At 37.9% G+C, this 18672-nt stretch overlaps 1 long non-coding RNA gene across 1 annotated transcript in view, besides 1 other annotated feature; it reads left to right on the top strand.

The window, feature by feature from the left end:
- LOC124909415 (uncharacterized) overlaps positions 1-18217 on the top strand; it is a 274299-nt gene extending 256082 nt beyond the window's left edge. The window contains exon 2 of the long non-coding RNA XR_007096015.1: positions 12889-18217. This is a non-coding gene — a long non-coding RNA (uncharacterized LOC124909415). The remainder of the gene's footprint in view (positions 1-12888) is intronic.
- Positions 6023-7222: an enhancer, noted in NCBI's record as "BRD4-independent group 4 enhancer chr3:116733888-116735087 (GRCh37/hg19 assembly coordinates)". NCBI's record gives its function as "activates an origin of replication core promoter dependent on BRD2, P300/CBP, MED14 and CDK7 cofactors, and independent of BRD4, by STARR-seq in HCT116 cells {active_cell/tissue: HCT116}" and the evidence as "EXISTENCE:reporter gene assay evidence [ECO:0000049][PMID:35650434]".
- Positions 18218-18672: the final 455 nt, after the last annotated feature.

Here is an 18672-nt window from a genome sequence, read left to right as displayed (position 1 = left end):
GTCACACAACTAGTGAGCTGTTGAACTAAAACCTAGCGTGAGACCCTGTCCCCACCAAAATAAATTAATTAAATTAAATAAAATCTAGGTTAGCTAGTCCCATTTCAATGTATAAACTCATTTTACATCTCTGATAAGTCAAAGAAAAAATGAGTTAATTATATAGATAAAAAATATACATTTAATTATGTATTACTGAATATATAATCACACACATGTAGTCAGGTAAGCATTTTTTTTTTTCCCCCTGTCCTTGGCATTTCATTAGTTCTCTCAGCATTTTTGTGAGTTTGAATAGCAATTTTCATTTTGTAAATAGAAAAACTGAAACACGGTGAGGTGTTCAGTGAACTGAATATTTCTCTATCTTGGAAAAAAGTTCAGAATACTGAGGACACATTATTTAAGCATGTTATTCTGGAGCTAGTAACCGCCCTCAGAGAAATCACATATCTCAGTAATTTTGTCTCAGCTTTATAAAAGTCGCAACAATGAAAGTGTTTGTAAAATTTATTTGCTGCTGTTTTGTTTCAAGATAGCAACTTGAGCTACACACTATATAAACTATGAACATCCATTATCTCTGTTATACAGGTACTGTTCCAGGTGCCAGTGCGTACACTACCTTTAGGAAAACATCAAATTCCACAAACTCAAAATAAACCATACTCGACTGATCTACAAATGCACGTGAACTAGATTTAGAAAAGTTTTCCTTTGTGTTAAACAAATAATGTCCAATTTTATTCTATAATTTTAAGTACAGAAGTGCTGGTAGCATTTTTCTATACATTCTGTTAAATTATTAGACTTACAATTAAGATGCTGAGAAATGTAAACTCTTATTAAGTGGAAAATCTTCACTGAGCACGCATCCCTATTTAGGAGAGTCCTTTGTCTCTGCAATAGGGGTTCCAGCCACAGGGCCTTCCTGCCTTTTAACACAGGCTGACACTGGGAAACACCAAGGCTGGAAACAGGCTTCTTGCTGAAATCTAGTTCCTATTTCAGGAGAAAATCTATCTCTGGGAGAAGACAAAGGGAAAAATAGATTCCAGGGAAGCATTACACACAGGATTGAGGGAGAATATGATCCCCTAAAGTGAAACTAAACCTGTCCTTAGACACTTCTCTGAGTATAGCAACAACAGTGTAAAGAACCCTTCTAGCTTTGAAAACCAGACCAGAAATACTGGAACTGATCTTCAGGGACTAAGAGAGGTAGTGAGTTGGGTTGGTCTGGGAAGGACCTTTTAGTTGAAAAGATTTTACCCCAGTTTACTGGTTGAGCTGCCTGTGTCACTAATTTTTGTTGACAGTACCACCCTCCAAGTGGGATTCTGGCTTCCGTTGCTCTGCAATTGCTTGTGGTACAGGGGCTCTCCAGCTTTGTCCCTGACCTGGTGTCTTTTTCTCTTCTTCTGGCTGAATAGACGTCATCCTGCTTGTGAAATTGAACAGTTCCTAGTCCAGGCCACAGTTTCTTTCTCTGATCCTTTTTATTACCTTAGTTTGCGGCATTGACATATTTCAGCATATTCTTCCTTCCCTCACCCACGTCATCAGTCCTTTCCCAGAACTCCTGCCCTTTTTCTTATTTGATATATACTTTTCCCCCCTACAGCCTCCTAGACTCCATCATGCTGGTATTTCTTCCCTTTCAATGTTGCTATCCCTGTATCCCTAATCTGAGCCTCTTTCCTTCCTCTATAATTTGGGGGAATCAAAACTAGTATTTATATTTTTTATTCTACCCTGAGCCTTAACCATTGATATCCCCCTTCCCAACAATGGTGATACTTACCTCTCTCATTTCTACCCACAGTCCTCATCCTGCTGGGGCTTGGAGCTGTCTAAATAAAGTAGATCTCGGGATGTCCTCATTCCTATCAAGGAGTAAGAAAGAGAGAGGAATCACCCACCCAAGTTTCAAAATAACAGAGGATGAGAGAAGCAGTCAGGAAAATGTGATCCTGTATATATCCCATGGAGATATTATTGAATGTAAAATTCCTTACATTTATTCACTCATTTTTTTCAGCAAATGTTTTTTGAGTACTTATTTTACCCCAAGCACTATGTCAGACTCTGAATAAGGGTTAGGAATATCAGACATTTACGTGTGCCAAGCAATGTGCGAAGCACATTTAACCTTCAAAATAACACAAGGAAGTAGGTATGATAACCCCCATTTTAAAATAAGGATCCGTGGTCAGTCAAGTTAACAGGTTGCTTAAGTTCACACAGTTGATAAAGTGACTCTACTACAGTCTCGTGCTTCTCATGTTATGATCAAGCACATTGTGCATTAAGGAAACTTTTATTATTTGTTTGGGGAAACTGAACAAATTATTTATTATTTCTAACAGGGTGGATAGACTTTCGAACAACCAATATACAATCCGCCTGTTGGTAATTTAGGAAGCGTTTCTAGCCTGCTTGTTTTAGGGTTATTGTTATTCATTTACATGTTATAATCTCCTTCTTATCTAAATATTGTATTTGAAATCCAAATACACAGACACACACACACACTCTTTTTTAGTATAAGAGTAATTACAACCCCATATTGAAAAAAGGAAAAATGCTACAACAGAAGCCATTGAATTAAACTCAGAAGTGGGTTATGTAGAGAAAACAAGCCAGTTGCAACGTATCCCCATCTTAAGTTTTCTAATTTTTCTAGCCATGAAATGATCTTTCTAGATACTCTTGCCGTGGCTACGTACAACTGCAGGAAACAGGGTCTTATCTCAGAAACACAAATCATATAAACCTCTAGAATGTGTCTGGGGGATTCTACTGCATCTGTTTTTCCTTCCTTCAATCACAGATGCCTAGCCTCTACCCTGGGCCAATTAAAGGGGATACTTTCAAAAGACACTCTGAAAGCTGAGGGACAGAAAATTTAAATGCATTCGCTCAGCAGGGCACATTCAACTGTGTTTGGGCTCCCCCTAGCTGCATGGAACCAGATTCTCATTGCTTAAGCAGTTCAGCTGAATGCTTAACCTCAAAAGGCTGCGTGCAACAGAGCAAAGATTTTATCTCCTCTGTCTCCCTGGTTTACTCTTCTGAATACACTGTTGTTATTGCATTCAGTTGCGGAGACCGGAGAGCATATTAAGTAGTCCTGGTCAGAAGAGGGAACTCAAGTCAGAGAAAGAAAAGGCAAATGTTATTGTGGGGATTGTTTTAGCGATGCTTTATGAATGTCTACAAAGATAACATCAATTTCCCTTGTCAATACCTTTATTGGTTTTTTTCCCCCAAAGGGAGTGGGCTGAATGTGCTCACTTATTAAACCACCTCGGTCTCACATATAACTGCCACTGTTTTTACATGTAACGTCAATTCATCCTTGTGTAAGGAGTCAGACCGGGTGGAGGGAGTTTGACAGGAAGAGCCACATCATCCACGGCAAAAGCAGCTACCTGGCAGCTGTGGAGAAAGATGTCCCAAAGGCCTTCCCACACATCCAGAGCTACTGCCAAGCAAGAGGAGCTTTAGGAATGAGAAAATTAGAGATGTTTTAGCTTTTGTCTGCCTTACCAAAGCCTACTGTTACTGTTGCTACTGCAAGACAACAGAAGACATCCCCAAGCGGCTTCCAGCATCCCCAAAGCTCTGCCTTAGGGGCTCTGACATTTCAGTGGGTTTTTTTTTCTGTCTTATGTACTGTCGTTGCACTTGGGGAATTACAAAGAGCCAAACAGATGTAGCATAATATATTGGTTAAAGTCATCCATATTGTTATCTATGGAGCGCTGCTGCCTAGGTAGAATGGAGCCACCTATTGTCTCTTTCAATGGAATTAAATGAAGTCTTTGAGTCTACAAGTATTAATTCAGTACTTGGTAGGTTCAAGGAATAGTTCTGGGAACCAGAACACTGGAAATCATTCAGATGCCAGCTCTGCAGGCAAGGACCTCACCATCTATTGGAGGAGGGCGAGCTCCTACACAAGTGAGGGCACGGCCAGGCAGGGTAGGACTTGGCAGGTAATAGAAACAGGGTGTTATGAGGGTGTGGGTGAGGAACAAACCTGTTGCCTGTGATGGAGATTGGGTCAGGAGAGAGGTGCCAGGGGCAACTTCTCAGGATGAATAACATTTGAAGAGAAACAGGCAGAATAGACAGGGTTTTGAGAAGCCAGAAAAGGGATCATAGGGCATTCTGGGAAGAAGGAACATTGCAAAGAGAGAAGTGGAGGTAAGAATGTTAATGGAGCACTGCGGTGGTATTCCATGGCTCCAGTGAGAATGGCAGGGATGAAGAGATGCATAAAAGACTGGCAGGCAGGGTGGGGCCTGATTGTGAAAGGACTTAACCATGGCAGTGAGTTTCCATTTATTGTAAAGGCATTGGGAGCCACATAAGCCTTTTTGAGTGAGGAGCTGGCTTTATCAGATTGGTGTTGTAAGAGAAACTGCAAAGCCTGTTGGGATTGGATGAGAGAAGGCTGTACTAGATAAGTTAAGGAGGATGGATGATGCAGCAATCCATCCCGAGAGGGAGCGAGAGGGTCAGAACTGGAGCGTGGTGCTGGGAACCCAGTGAATAGCACGATTCAGCCTGGCTGTGCTCTGACAGTCTGGATTATCTTGGGGCTGTCTCAGAGGAGATCTGGGGCTGCCCCAGAAGTGGGTTTTACTCTCACTGTGCTGTGTTGTATTAATAGCTGACAGCTGTATTCTTCTCTGGTTTTGTACTTTTCTTTTTTTTAAGTAAAAGCACATCAAACCAGTTTTCTATTAGTTTCTACTCCTAATCCTCTATTAACATAAATGTTTTATGCTGAATGTGTGGTAACCCACAACAAAATCTCATTTTCTAGATTCAGAAATGTTAAAACAAAAATGATCAACACCGCCCCCCCGCCAAAAAAAAAATCCTCACCATGGAATATAGTTCCAGAAATGACTAACAGTATTAAGAAATAAACACAGGTGTTCTGAGACACAGCACTTAACCCTCAGCCACATTTGCCTCCTGCTACTTTCAGCCTACTAACCTCACCCATGAATTGACAATATGTAAAAACCCCTTCTGTCCTTTCACGTTGTATAAAGTACTTTAGTGCTATAGTGTTAAGCAACATTTAAGTAATTAATGCATTTCTGCTGTCACAATGCAGCAATTTTGCCAGAATGTATGTGGGAGAATGTAGATGGATTAAACACATTTATATCTCCAAGAAAATTGAGCAGCTATGTCAAAATAAAATATCACTGTGCATGGTTTACCATTTTATTTTTTTCTCTAATTATTAGACAAATTTCAAACTTGGCTGTCTGTCTGAGTATGAGACAGATTAGGGCTATTTATTTATACCTAATTCCAATTAGAATATATAGGATTGTCATTTCTAAAATAAGTATGGTTCAGTGTGAACATTATCATACTTTAGAAATTATACAAAATAATTTCTTTCAGACACTTTTAAACAATGCAGTAAGTGAAAACAAGTTTAAGGGTCCAAAGAGAATATTTGGATATTGGTATTTCCTTGCATCCCTTTCTCTCATAAGGAGGAAGGTCAGATCTACCCCCAGCAAGACTGGAAGAGCTGCTCCACTTGGCCAGCTCTCTCCTCTTTCATTTCAGAAAATGCAGAGAGTGAGGGCAGATCCCATACACTAAGACTTAATGCTTTCTAGAGCCTCTTTCTGCTCTGTGATTCTGCGGCTTCTGGCGGCTCCTAGAGGATCCCAGACTGAGCATTGATAGGCCTCTGAGGGCAGGTGAAAGATCTCTGTTGATAGCAAGAAAAGCAGGCACACAGGAAAGCCTAGGATCAGAGGTGGGGGTTGAGGAGTGTGAGAAATAAAAATGGTGGCATTATTACCTAGTTTTTCTGTTTGTTTGTTTGTTTTCATTGTTGTGTTAACCTTCAGCTGCTCTACAGATTCTTGCTGTATTAGGGTTAGTGAAGTGCTGAATTTTTGCCGATTTTGCAAAGCATAGTCACGACAGTTACTCTCAGATCACCTTGTGAACCCGACTCCCAGAAAAGCAGCCAGAGTTCTCATTCTTCTGTATTCTCGGCAGAGTTTGGAATATCAACTCTAACCCTGCCAATTACTTCTTAAGGTGAGAGAAATGCAGGCAGGACATGAATATAAGATCGTGGTCAGTTTCCAATCTGCAAAGAAAAAGCTCACTGAAGTGGACTGCAGGTGCAGAAGAGGGCCGAGAGGAAGGTTTGCCGTGTTTTCTTTTACAGTGATCCCCACTCTAATAACTACTTTTTGATTTCTACAGATTAGCGCCAGCAAATTAGCATAATGACATTACCCAGACGCCTTTGCTGTTGTTTTCTTTCAAAGGTCGTTGTGACTGAGGTTGGAGAATGTAATGGATTAAGAAAAAGAAAGGGAAAATTACCATATTTAATATTGTTTCTAGAGAAATTGACATAGTTTATGGAGCCGAGAAATATAATGCAATTTTCTCCTCCATCCCTGCTGGAACGAGAAGGGGTGGGGTACAGGGGAGCAAGAGATGCGAGTGGTGGAGCACATAGTTACCGAGATGATGTAGCTGCTAACAGGCGACTCCCACATTACCTTCGGCTCTCAGGGGTGGCCCCAGCGAAGCCAGGTTCGTTACCTGTAAAATCTGGGTGTGATCAGAATAGCATTTCAATGAAATTAAACTTGGGATGGTTCCTAGATAATAGATACATGAATGTGTGAGAAAAGACCTTGATCACAGGGCCTGCTCTGTGCCTTGTGCAAAATCAGAATTGCTGGCAAAGAACACCAGGGACAGGCACGCAAATTGCCTTTACTCTGTTACACACATACCAATTGCTATAATATTGAAGAAAATATTTATACATCCCTTTTCCTTCCTCTGCTTTATGCTTCATTGCCTTTTCTCCATTTGTGGTTTATAGATGGAATGACGAAAAAATGTAGAAGGCAGGTGGCAAGAGTGAAGATGTTTCCTAGATACAGAATTTCAGAGTGGCTAAGAGGCAGGTCTTTCTCATCAGGCGACTGAATTAATTCTGGGCTCAGTCTTTTACTAGCTGTATGAAAGTTTCTTAATTTCCTTTAACTTCATCTGTAGAACAGAAGTGTTGTAAATGATGACAGGAAAAGTATAGAAGCAAGATCAATTGCCACTAATGGGATAAATATCAAAGAAACTGACTAAATAGACTAAATAGTTTGATGTTCCTTTGTTGAGGAGAGGATGATACAATTTAAAGAAGAACCATGAAAATTAATTAAATATTGATGTAAATTATGTTAGTGAGGTATGATATGCAGGCAAAAAAATGACAAACGGTTTACTAAATACTATTGCTAATATAGTTTTAAAATCCCTGACACTAGCATTGTGCTTATTTTGTTTTGTTCCCAAGTACTGAAGAATCAAAAAATAGAAATATAATATATATAAGGCAGTAGTCAAAGATAAGGAGTTCATTTGACACTTTGAGGGACCTAATGAGTAAAAATAAACAAATACATACATAAATAAGCTTAGGGAATTGGAACAAATGAATAATACCATTAAGTCAATTAGAAGAACTTGAGAAAAAGGGTAAAAATGAAGATGATACAAACACAGAAGGTAAAATAAAGGGAAGGGGAAGATTCCTGAGCCCGTTTCTTTCCATAATTGGCCAAGAAAATGCTTCTTCCCCACAGTCTTGTTCTTCAATTTTGGAGAAAATGGTGAGAAGAGGGTTCCCGGTGTAGAAATGTAATTTAAGCCACACAAAATGTTCACCTCCGTGTGTAAATTCCACAGACGACTATTAGAGAAACTGTGGCTTAGTGGAAAGCGCATAGGTGGAAAAATCAAGTCCTTGCCGTGTCTATTCCCTTCTTTATCAATGGAGCTAATTTCCCATTTGTAGTTCATAGGTGGAATAAAGGGAAACTGCAGAAAACAGATGGCGAGGCATGAGAATGTTTCCTAGACACAATATCCCACAAAGTTGTCTTATGGATCAAATGAGATTAATTAAAATGTTTTAAAATTATAAAGTATCATTTAAATATAAGACTATTCGTATAGTCTCTTATAGCATTTAATGATTTTAGTAATAGTTATTTATTCTTACAGTTATCAGCTACACAGATCATTCCTAATTTGCCAATGTGGACACTGGCTGAGATTAGAGTTTCTATGCTATACTATGCCATATATATATATACACATACACACACACACACACTTTTTATATATACACACTATACTATATATACATGCTATATATTATTACTCAGGTTCATTCACGTAGATGATATAGGCCAGATTAAATCCTACCCTTTCACAGCATTTCCATAGGAGTAGGAAGCTTCCTTTGATACAGATGTACAACTGTCCTTCAACAGTCCCAGTAAATAAAATCTTCAGGGTTTTCCTCCCCATCCAGCCTGAGTTAAATCTACTTATAAGTGATAGACTCTTTTCATAAATAATTAATGGTTACTTAACAAGAGTTTAGCATTTTCCTGCCATTGTTTTGATTACATTAGGTTCACAAGGTGACTTTTTGAGGAAATGTGAATGGCATTTACCCTAGATAGCTGTGATTAATTTTTGTCTGTTTTTAGAAAAGCTTTTGTTTCATTATCATGAAGTAAAAAAATGGAGCCTGAAGAAAATCAAAACAAATCTGATCTCAGAATACCTGAAGCTTTGATTAAACTATCTTAGGGATGCTAGGTCTATTTTGTACTTACATAATATTATTTATTTATGATTTTGATTTATGTGGAACTTGCAATGGGAGCTCTTTTGTGAAAACCACCCTTTCAGGGATAGCATTTATGAATCAGCACTGAACTGTTTGCTTTTTAGACTGTGGTCTTGGGTTCTTATAGCTACATCTTTCAGTGAAGACTTAAAACTCAAGGCTTGATCATGGGCAATGGTTGAGGATCCCATGACACCTCTGAGAAACCATTAGGATTAGCTTCCATGCCTGGCCATTTCCCCATTTGGGTATATTCTTCTTCATATCCCCAAGGTTCCTTGGAGGAGACTTTTTGGTTTAAACTGTCTTGTTTTTTAGTTGCAACTGTTAAGCAGCTGCTTCATTATGCTCTCCACGTGGCAACATTTCTATTGAAAACTGAAAGAGAATTACAACATCAGAAGGGGGCAAAAAAGCAAAACAATGGCAACAATGAGAGAGGCAGTAGGGATGCAGTTAGAGTGTGTGGTAGTGAGTTTCTTATGGCTAATGTTCAATATACACTTGCAAGTCAATAACGACCTTGGTTATTTTTAGAAAATCTTATTTTCTTCTCTGTTGTGAATGTTAGTCAAGACACCATGACAATTATCCCTGAGTAAGAGGGATCCCTCTGTGAGTCTCATGCTTTAGGACATCTTCCCCACCAGTTATACCTACACTGAGGGGGTCAGAAATCCTTGGGGGTCAAAGAGATAAGCCCACCCTGGGCCCACCCCAGCCCTTCTAGACTATGATCCTACTTCAGATGAATTTAAAATTTACTTGCTCAAGTATCCCTGAGCTCACTTCCAGAATCTGTATGGATCTCTTTCCTAGGCTTGTTTTTCTAAGTGCTCACCATAACTTGTGTGCACATCTCTAGGCCAGAAGGAATGTCCAAGGGTAAGTTGGTAGCATGGAGAGTAGACAAAGCTTGGATGTGGAGCCTTGGAGTGTCCACATGGTTGCGTTTCCTCATTGTGTTGACTGAGCCAGGGGTGGGAAGAAACACGAGGAAGCCCATGGGTCAGGGGTCGGAGCTGGGGCCAGTTCCTCTTGTGGCACCATGTTCTGATCTAGAACTCCAAGTGGCCTAAGAATTATTAATGTTAAGCTGACCTTGCAAGTCAATGTAAAGATAAATTGTCAAGGTTGGAAGATAGAATGTATTTTATTATCCGTTTATTACCTTGATTTATAACATTCAAATATTTAGATATATGGCAATAGGCCTCCCTTTATATTCCTGCCCCAGGTACAAGAAACAAAGGCTCACCTGCCACGCCTTCCTATTGTCTCCTAACACATATTCTATTCCCATTGAAAATAATCTATACACTGCAACACTATTAAAACTTCATCATTTCATGCCAGTGACAACCTGAAAAAAAAAAAGTTGTTCATTTCATTTCCTGGCCGAAGTAGCAAAGTTTTACTCATGCTCCCCAGGGATATTAAGACTCAGAATGTTGTTCCTGCCCTGTGAGTTGAGAAATTCTACTTGGATCTACACGAGCGTCTACCCATAATTTCCTTTATGTTCTCATGATATCTCTTTCCCAAACTCTTCACAGGAACTAATTGAGAGCATATCCGCAAAACGTTCAGGAAACAGTAAAAGCCACACAATTGTAATGCATCAATGTTATTCTCGTCTCTCATCACCACCTCCCTCCCTCAGTGAGTTCCCTGAGTTATTATTGCCTAAGAGAAGTTCAATCAGCCTATTCTGGGCTCAACCATAGAATACAGCTTCTGTAAGTGTAATACACTTTCACTTTGATCTCAAGCCTATCTTCCCTACGATGAAGCAAAGAAGATGCAACTGAGATTACCCAAGAAAAAATAAGAATAATAGCTAACATGTACTGTGCTTTTATCATGAATAGACATAGGCTAAGCACTTTTGTGATGTAGGTACAGGTATTATTATCATATTATAGATGGAGAAACTGAGGTCAATATAGTTTAAGTAATTTACCCAAGCTGATAAGATTCAGAGTGGGTTTCAAACCCAGGTATTCTAGCTGTGGAGCACTTAATCACTCCACAGTGTTGCCTGCAGAATATCAGGTTGTCTTTCCTCCTGATTCCACCAAAAATCATCTTCAGCAGACTCTGCCTATTAGCTTTTAAAAGCTATTGCTGGCTCCCAGAGAATTTGAAGCCTTGTAAATGTAAAAGTAATCATCATGCTTCATTATTATTATTTTCCTAGCCCCACCATGGTCCCTTTGAGACTAAATTGAAACATACTAGCCTTTAGCTCACCTCCCATCAGACGGTCAATAACTTGGCCAGGAAACACAATGGTGGTAGGTCAAGCATGGGTATCACAGAGTATGTCTGATTACTTAATCCAAAGATATTTGACTAAGAAAAGCCAGTATTTAAAGACCTGAGTAGCCACATAAGCATGAGGCACCACATTTTTCTTTCTCGCCAGTCTGAAAATTTTTAATACAGTATAATCTAGTTTGTCTTAATACCAATACATAGGGTTAATTATGCTTACCTATTTTACATAGCAATTTGTTGAAGGTCATCATTGTCTCTTGGTAACATGAGGGCAAGTGTAGGAGTGTGCGGAAAAGCACTTTATATTTCCATAGTCATTTAGAGCTCTCTTAAGATATACTTTCAATACCTTTCTGAAACTTGCATTTTTAAAACTCTTAACTCACTTGGAAATCACATAAGTGAAATAAACATCTCAAAATATTCATTGAAGAACACACATTTCTTCTACCCAAACCAACTAAACCCTATCTAAGAATGCCAGAAAGCTGTTCTTTGCTCTCTTAGCTGCCTTTCAAAATGCAATCATTCTAGCAGTCACTTCACTCACCAATTCCCATCTAATCGTTTTCATTTACTAGAGTGCATTGGCTCAGTCTCCACCAAAACAGCAGCTACATGCAGTGCTATAATGTGGTTTTGCTCATCTCACAACCCTCTGTGATAGCTTTAGTAACTTCTATTGTACATTGATAACAGCTTCATTTGTCACATGCCCACTGAAAAGAACTCAGTTCCTGTTCTCAGATTGGGTGGGATGAAAGCCAAGAGCTTCCAGTGCTCACTGTGGATGCTAAGATAGAATGTACACTGTTAACATCCAATGGCAGATAAGAAATGCCAGGGTATAAATCCCCAAGAGACCAATACAGCTTTCACCCAAAGCAGAAAGTAATTTTCTCTTTTGCTCTGGTGACTGGGACTACCCTGTTTGGATCATTTGGTTTGCAGCATAAAAGGCATGATGTCTGGGTGATAATGGGAGGTCAACAATGAAGAGAGATGGGACTTCTTGTGGGAAGGCGGGGGGAGTCAAAGTTCACTTGAGGCATTTTAAAGGTCTCACTGCACCACTGAAAGGTGCCACAGGGAAATGCCATCTACAGTGGTACTGATGCAGGAAGACTGCTAGGAGCTGGGTGTGGACATCTATTATCTCAGCAGTGAAGTCCCTGCAGATGATTTGGCAGCCTGCTCAAATGCAGTTTACCTCTGTGTCCCTGACTTTCCCTGTTCTGTCCTGGACCATGGCTAGGAGACATGTCTTTGCACTAATGTTGTGAACTGAGAATAAAACTGAAGGCAAGCGAAAAACTTTTCTGTGTTAGATTGTTGAGCCTGCCCTAGACCAAGGAGGAGTCCTGTTTGATAGATGTACAGATTACCTACAAGAATGATTATATGCAGTATTAGATCTTTAACATCAGAGAGAGTGTCTTGATTCCAGTTAAACCGCCAGGCCTAGCAAAGAGGCTGTTGCACATTAAGGGTCAATAGATATTTGGTGAATAAATAGAAGAATGAAAGACTGATTAAATGATTAAATCATGAAGAGACCAGTTTATTTTCACCTTCTGAATTACATTGAGACCTTGTCCTGGTAGAATGAGCACATATAGTATGGGAAAATCTGGTTTTTGCAAGATATGTAAATAATTTTATGAGGTAGGAGGACCAATGAACTATCAGATTTTCAAAAATAAGCTAAAGCTGTAATGTCAGGACAAGGGGAAAGCAAGATTTGATTTACAAAACTTCAATGCATATACGACATTGTAGAAACATGTCTATTATATAAAACAGGTATTTTTTCTTTAATTAAGTTTCCAAAAACAAATTTACCATGAAATGATGTTTAAATGTTTTGTTGTTGTTCTTTTTTTCAGGTAAGTGAAAAGATATCTTCTGAAGTGTTCTCCAGAAACTGTGCAGGTGGCGGTTCTCTTAGAAGAAAAAGAAAGGCAGGGATCCTTGAAATGGTAATATTTCAGTTGTTTCATATACATAGAAGTGTCTCACATGGCCAGCAAGGTGATCATTTTCTCTTATGTGCTTATACCTGTTTACTTCATTATAACTTGATATGGCTCAAACCTCAAGGTCTGTGGGAATTGTTTGTTTTTGTGTATCTGCATGAGAGCCACTCATACCCTAATCCAAAGTTTCTGCAGCCCACCCTCAGTGGGAAGCTCATTATTCATAAATTGTTTAAAATTGAAATGTCATTCTAAACAGATCCTACAAGAACAGACATATACAATTTAGACTGTATAGTGCAATATATATATACACACACATATATGTGTAAATATATATATGTTTGTAACCCTGTTTTCTTTCGTAACAGTTTCCTCTTGAATATGAAGTGCCTTACTTTTCCTGTTTATGGCAGTGTTATCTGTTTAAAATGTATTTGTAGCCTGTAGACTTTCAGTCTAAGTGACAAGCCAGCTGAAACATGCTACAGATTTTAGTAGTTATACAACCTAGTTTAACAAACTAGCTCCCTGAGAATCAATGACTGACAAAAAAATTTGATTTACAAACCTTCAATGTATATGGAATTCCAGTTTACAGTATAAAGTCTGCAAACACTTCACATGAGGACAGAAGCAAAGGAAGTAGATACACGTAAATATTAAATGAAAGGTTTGTGAGATTATATTATTGCAGCAGATTTTAAAAACATAATTTGCTAAATGCACTCAATTGGTTCAATGATGAAATTTACATCCCAAAACTAAGGCGTGTTTTCTATTTGCAAAAGTGAAATGAGTTTCAATGAGTTGTTAGTGTTTGGAAATTCCTACCAGAATTTTCTTTTTAAATAACCTTTTCTTTCTATCTAAAATAAATCACTCATTTGCTGAGAAAGTATATATAGTTGACTTAGAAAACACTAAAATATGTCATATAGCTTCCTGCAGAGTTAGCTATACAATGCTCAGTACTTTTTAATATTCACACACATGGTTAAGTTTTAAATGCTGGTCATGACATAAATATGTGCAATGAAGTATAAGTCACCTAATATCAAAAGTGTATATACCAAGTATTAATAAAAAGTAAAGATAATTCAAAGCTATTAATAATCAGAAATGGATCCTTCACTCAAGAGGTCAGCACTTTAGAAAGAGGTAAGACACAGCCTATACTGAATAGCAGCATTTAAATTGAAGAAATTAAAGGTATTTTTATGCTTTTAATATAAGAAATATGTGCAGAAAACTAAAGGCCTAAACTATCATTCAGATTTGAGAAAGTATGTAGTGGTTATTTTCTGTTTTCTGGTTATTTTCATTTATTTGCTTATTTTCTTTCTATTGAAAGTATTGTTACATCTTTCTCCATAAGAAAATGTTTTAAGTTTAGATTTAAAATATAAATATATAGGAAAAAAGTAAGCAGAAAAATGTCCCCACTTGTTAAATCAGTTGGTTATTCCCCTTTGAGGAAGAGAAAGAAGCTCAATTACAGAGTATTTAAATTTCTAAAATTATATTGGATTCTAAAGAATGTATAATTCAGCAGATTATTTTCTTAATATATGACACATCAGGTAACATGAATTACAGCGACAAAAGTAGCTCCTTCTGTGGTACGGAGTGAACACAGCAAAGCAGATTTTCTGTGTGAACAACACACTCTCCTCTTGTATACTTGACTCCCACTGTCTTAAGGAGTGTCTGGTAATTTATATACCATTTAACCCAGCAATCTCATTACTAGGTATATACCCAAAAGAATATGAATAATTCTATCATGAAGATACATGCACATGTATGTTCATAGCAGCACTAGACACAATAGCAAAGACATGGAATCAACCCAAGCATCCATCAATGATAGACTGAATAAAGAAAATATGGTACATACACACCATGGAATACTATGCAGCCATAAAAAAAACAAGATCATGTCCTTTGCAAGGACACGGATGGGGCTGGAAGCCATTATCCCCTGCAAACTAACACAGGAACAGAAAAGCAAACCCCACATGTTCTCACTTATAAGTGGGAGCTGAACAATGAGGATACATGGACACAGGGAGGGGAACAACACACACTGGGGCCTGTTGTGGGGGTGGAGGGAGGGAGGGCATCAGGATAAATAGCTAATGCATGGGGGACTTAATACCTAGGTGATGGGTTGATAGGTGCAGCAAACCACCATGGCACAAGTTTACCTATGTAACAAACCTGCACGTCCTGCACGTGTATCTTGGAACTTAAAATTAAATTACATTTTAAAAGAAAAAGAAAGTAGCAGACAGAAGCATCAGTGAATGAATCTTAAGGATCTAGCCAGTCTAGAAGACTTTGTGAATTAGAGGGAGGAAGAGAGAATCATGGATGCAGAAGAGAGTCAGAACATTCAATTCATCAAAAGTTCTCTCTCTCAATTAGAAATCTGTCCATTTCCCAAACCTTATTTATAGTCCACAGATTCTTCAAGATTTTTCTCTCATTTTCTTAGTCTATGAAAGCCACCTAGTGTGTCTATATTTCTATTACAAATAGACAAAGAAGTATTCTTTGATAACCTAGAATTCTGAAATCAGTTAATAGTACGAAAAGCATACTTAACTTCCTAATTTTATTTATTTAGGCATTCATTTCTACTCTGTCTCATTTTCCAAAGGATTCAAGGGGTTTAAAGGGTAGAGTAAACAACACTCCTGCATTTTCACATTATGATTGAAAGACTAAGCATACGAATATCATGGTTTTGGTTGATTTGAGGAACTTCTGCCCTGAACAGGGTGATCTGTTACATAATCCAATCAATTCACTCAATTCAAAAAAATATATCCAAGGATCTGTACAACCATGTGCTTGATGGTCAGAAAGATAAGTTTGTAAAATATAGCTACTGCCTTCAGGGACTTTGCAGCTTAGGCCTCCTTTCTGGCTTCTTTTGCTTGATCGTCTAGTGGTTTAACCTTTAGTCACTTAACTGATAACCACAGTTATCACTTATTCACATAACTGATAACCACATGTTATGCCTCTTTCACAGCACAAGAAAGAAAGGTTATTCCTCCAGCACAGGAGGCCTTCCTGTGAAAGTCAAGTGAAACTGGATTTGACTGAACTGGGTCAGATGAGATTTTGATATTATCAATGTAGTTGTATACAGTATTTTGGCTTCTTCACTAGCTTGGATAATCAGGACATGACAATTATAACACCTGTTTCATGAGGAATGATAATCATATCATGACATTTTTATGCTTCATTCACTGTTATGATTTGAACTGCTTCATGTCCAACACCGGTTTGTAGAGTTTTAGTGTTGCATTACAGCATTATAAAAACAAGCTAGAGTCACATGATTGTAGGCAAAGTTTGGACTGTTGCAGTAATATATTGATTATTTCCATGACATCCAAAATAAAGACTGCGTAACTATAACATAAAATGATTACAAAGCCAAGAAACTCATAGCATTGGTTGACAGCTAATAAATTAGTTTGAACTTTAAGTTTTCAAAGAATTTTCTAATGGAAAAAAATTTTAATGTTTATTTAACTGATTATGTATTCTAGAGAACTTTATGATCTTGCTTTTCTTTTGTGACCATGAATTCCTGATTTCCTGGTGTTTATGTTTATGATTTGGCTGATAATCTTGTTTCAAGTACTTCTTACATGGCAAGTGGAATTGCTGTTAGAACTCACCACATGTCGTCACAATTCTAAAATTAGTTAAGAATGCATTGTTTGAGCCCACATGGACTTCCTTTAAAGTTGGGGAATATCCTTCATGTATTTGAATTTGGCTACTTTACAACCAACATGTACTAATTTAGAAATTCACAGCACCAGTATGTGAACATTTTGTAGTCTTCAATTTATGCCTCTGAAAACAGTAGTCTCCCCAAAGAAAAAAAATAGCCTCTTCTAGAAAACGAAGTAAAGGCAAAACCAAGTTGATATATTTCAAAAGCTGTATGCAGCATCCAGTTCAGATATAATTTTCAAAGAATGAATTTTAATGCACACAGCCCTATTAGCACAGGATCAGATTCCTAACAAATCGATTGGACGTGCAGAAAGAGTCTGTGTCCTAGATTCAAAGTCATTACACAGTCTTAAACACAGCTGTGCGGCAAGCCTTTCATTCTAGATGGACATGAGCAAATTGAATGGTTCCGAAGGTGATTGGCTGGTGGATTTCCTACAATGCAATTTTCAATAATGACAAGTTTAATGAAATCACTATTGTATTATTTAGCAAGGGAATGTGTATCCTATTTTGTATAGCCATCAATGGCTGATTAAGTGTGCACAGGAGTATGAATGCACAAATATTTAAACAGATTCAGAGGCACCCATTATTCTTTGGTTTAGGGGAGGTACATACACCCAACCCTGCCACTATCCTTGCCCAACCAGGGATGAAGATAATCCTATACTTTTTATTGTAATTTTACTTCCTTTCTGTCATTCCTGAATTCTGGCTTCCTGCTGTCTCTAATCTTTTATTAGAATTGTCAATTTCCATTGAGTATATGATAAACTTTCTTCTTAATTGTAAATGTTTTCCATTCTATATCCAAAAATATGTGCTTACACAAGCATTACACATGCAAAAACATTATATATGTAAACTACTAACCTTGTATCATTGTTTCATGCATGGACTCTGCAGATGCCAATGAGGAAAATAATACTTTTATTCTTTTTTTTTTTTTTTTTTTGAGACAGGGTTTCACTCTGTTGCCCAGACTGGAGTCCAGTGGCATGATCTTGGCTCACTGCAACCTCCACTTCCCATGTTCAAGTGATCCTCCCACCTCAGCCTCTCTAGTAGCTGAGACTACAGGCGTGTGCCACCATGCCCAGCTAATTTTTGTATTTTTAGTAGAGACAGGGTTTCATCACGTTGGCCAGGCTGGTCTTGAACTCCTGACCTCAGGTGATCCATCCACCTCGGCAGCATGAGCCACTGCGCCTGGCCTATAATTTTATTCTTAATTTTATGTCATATGAGGATTGGGGCAGAAAGATCCATATATATTCTATAAAATTAAATTCTAATAAATAAATGAATATCCATGGAGGAGATTATTTTTCTTGTGAAATTCATTCCCAGTACCTACGTTTATTTACAGAAAAAGTGCATTATAACTGTTCAGTTTTGGTGAATAACTCTATACTTGTTGCTTATGATTTCTTATGTGTGGAGCATAAATAAAAAAATTGTGTTATTATAAATTGTCAAATTGCCAATCATCTTGCAAAAGTAGCCATTCAGTCTATGTAATCTTAGGAAAGCCTGCACATATTTCTGGAAAAGGAAGTTTAGGAGGTGGAAGTTTTTTCTACCATGGTTGAAAGTCTTCTTGATTGAACCAAAGTGTCAGGTAAACAAAGCAGAAAAACAGAAACACACTGAGCTGTTTTTACAGCTCAGTGTAGTTGTATCAAGAGAATATACATCCTTTTCCTTTTTTATTATGAGGAGCCCATTCTGAGCAATGAATATAATTAGTTAATAAATAACTCCTGTTGTATGCCTTAAGGAACTTAGCTTCAGGGCAGTTGTTAATAGCAGGCAGCTGGAAAAGACATGGGCATTCTATCAAAGAGACATACTGAAAGTTAGCCAACAGAAGCTGATTCTTTCAAGTTATGCTATAAATCTAAGTCAACAACAGATAGCTTG

Source organism: Homo sapiens, chromosome 3, assembly GCF_000001405.40.
Source record: "Homo sapiens chromosome 3, GRCh38.p14 Primary Assembly".
NCBI lineage: Eukaryota > Metazoa > Chordata > Mammalia > Primates > Hominidae > Homo > Homo sapiens.
Note: the sequence above shows the minus strand (reverse complement) of the source record. Positions and strands in the feature narration are given on the sequence as shown.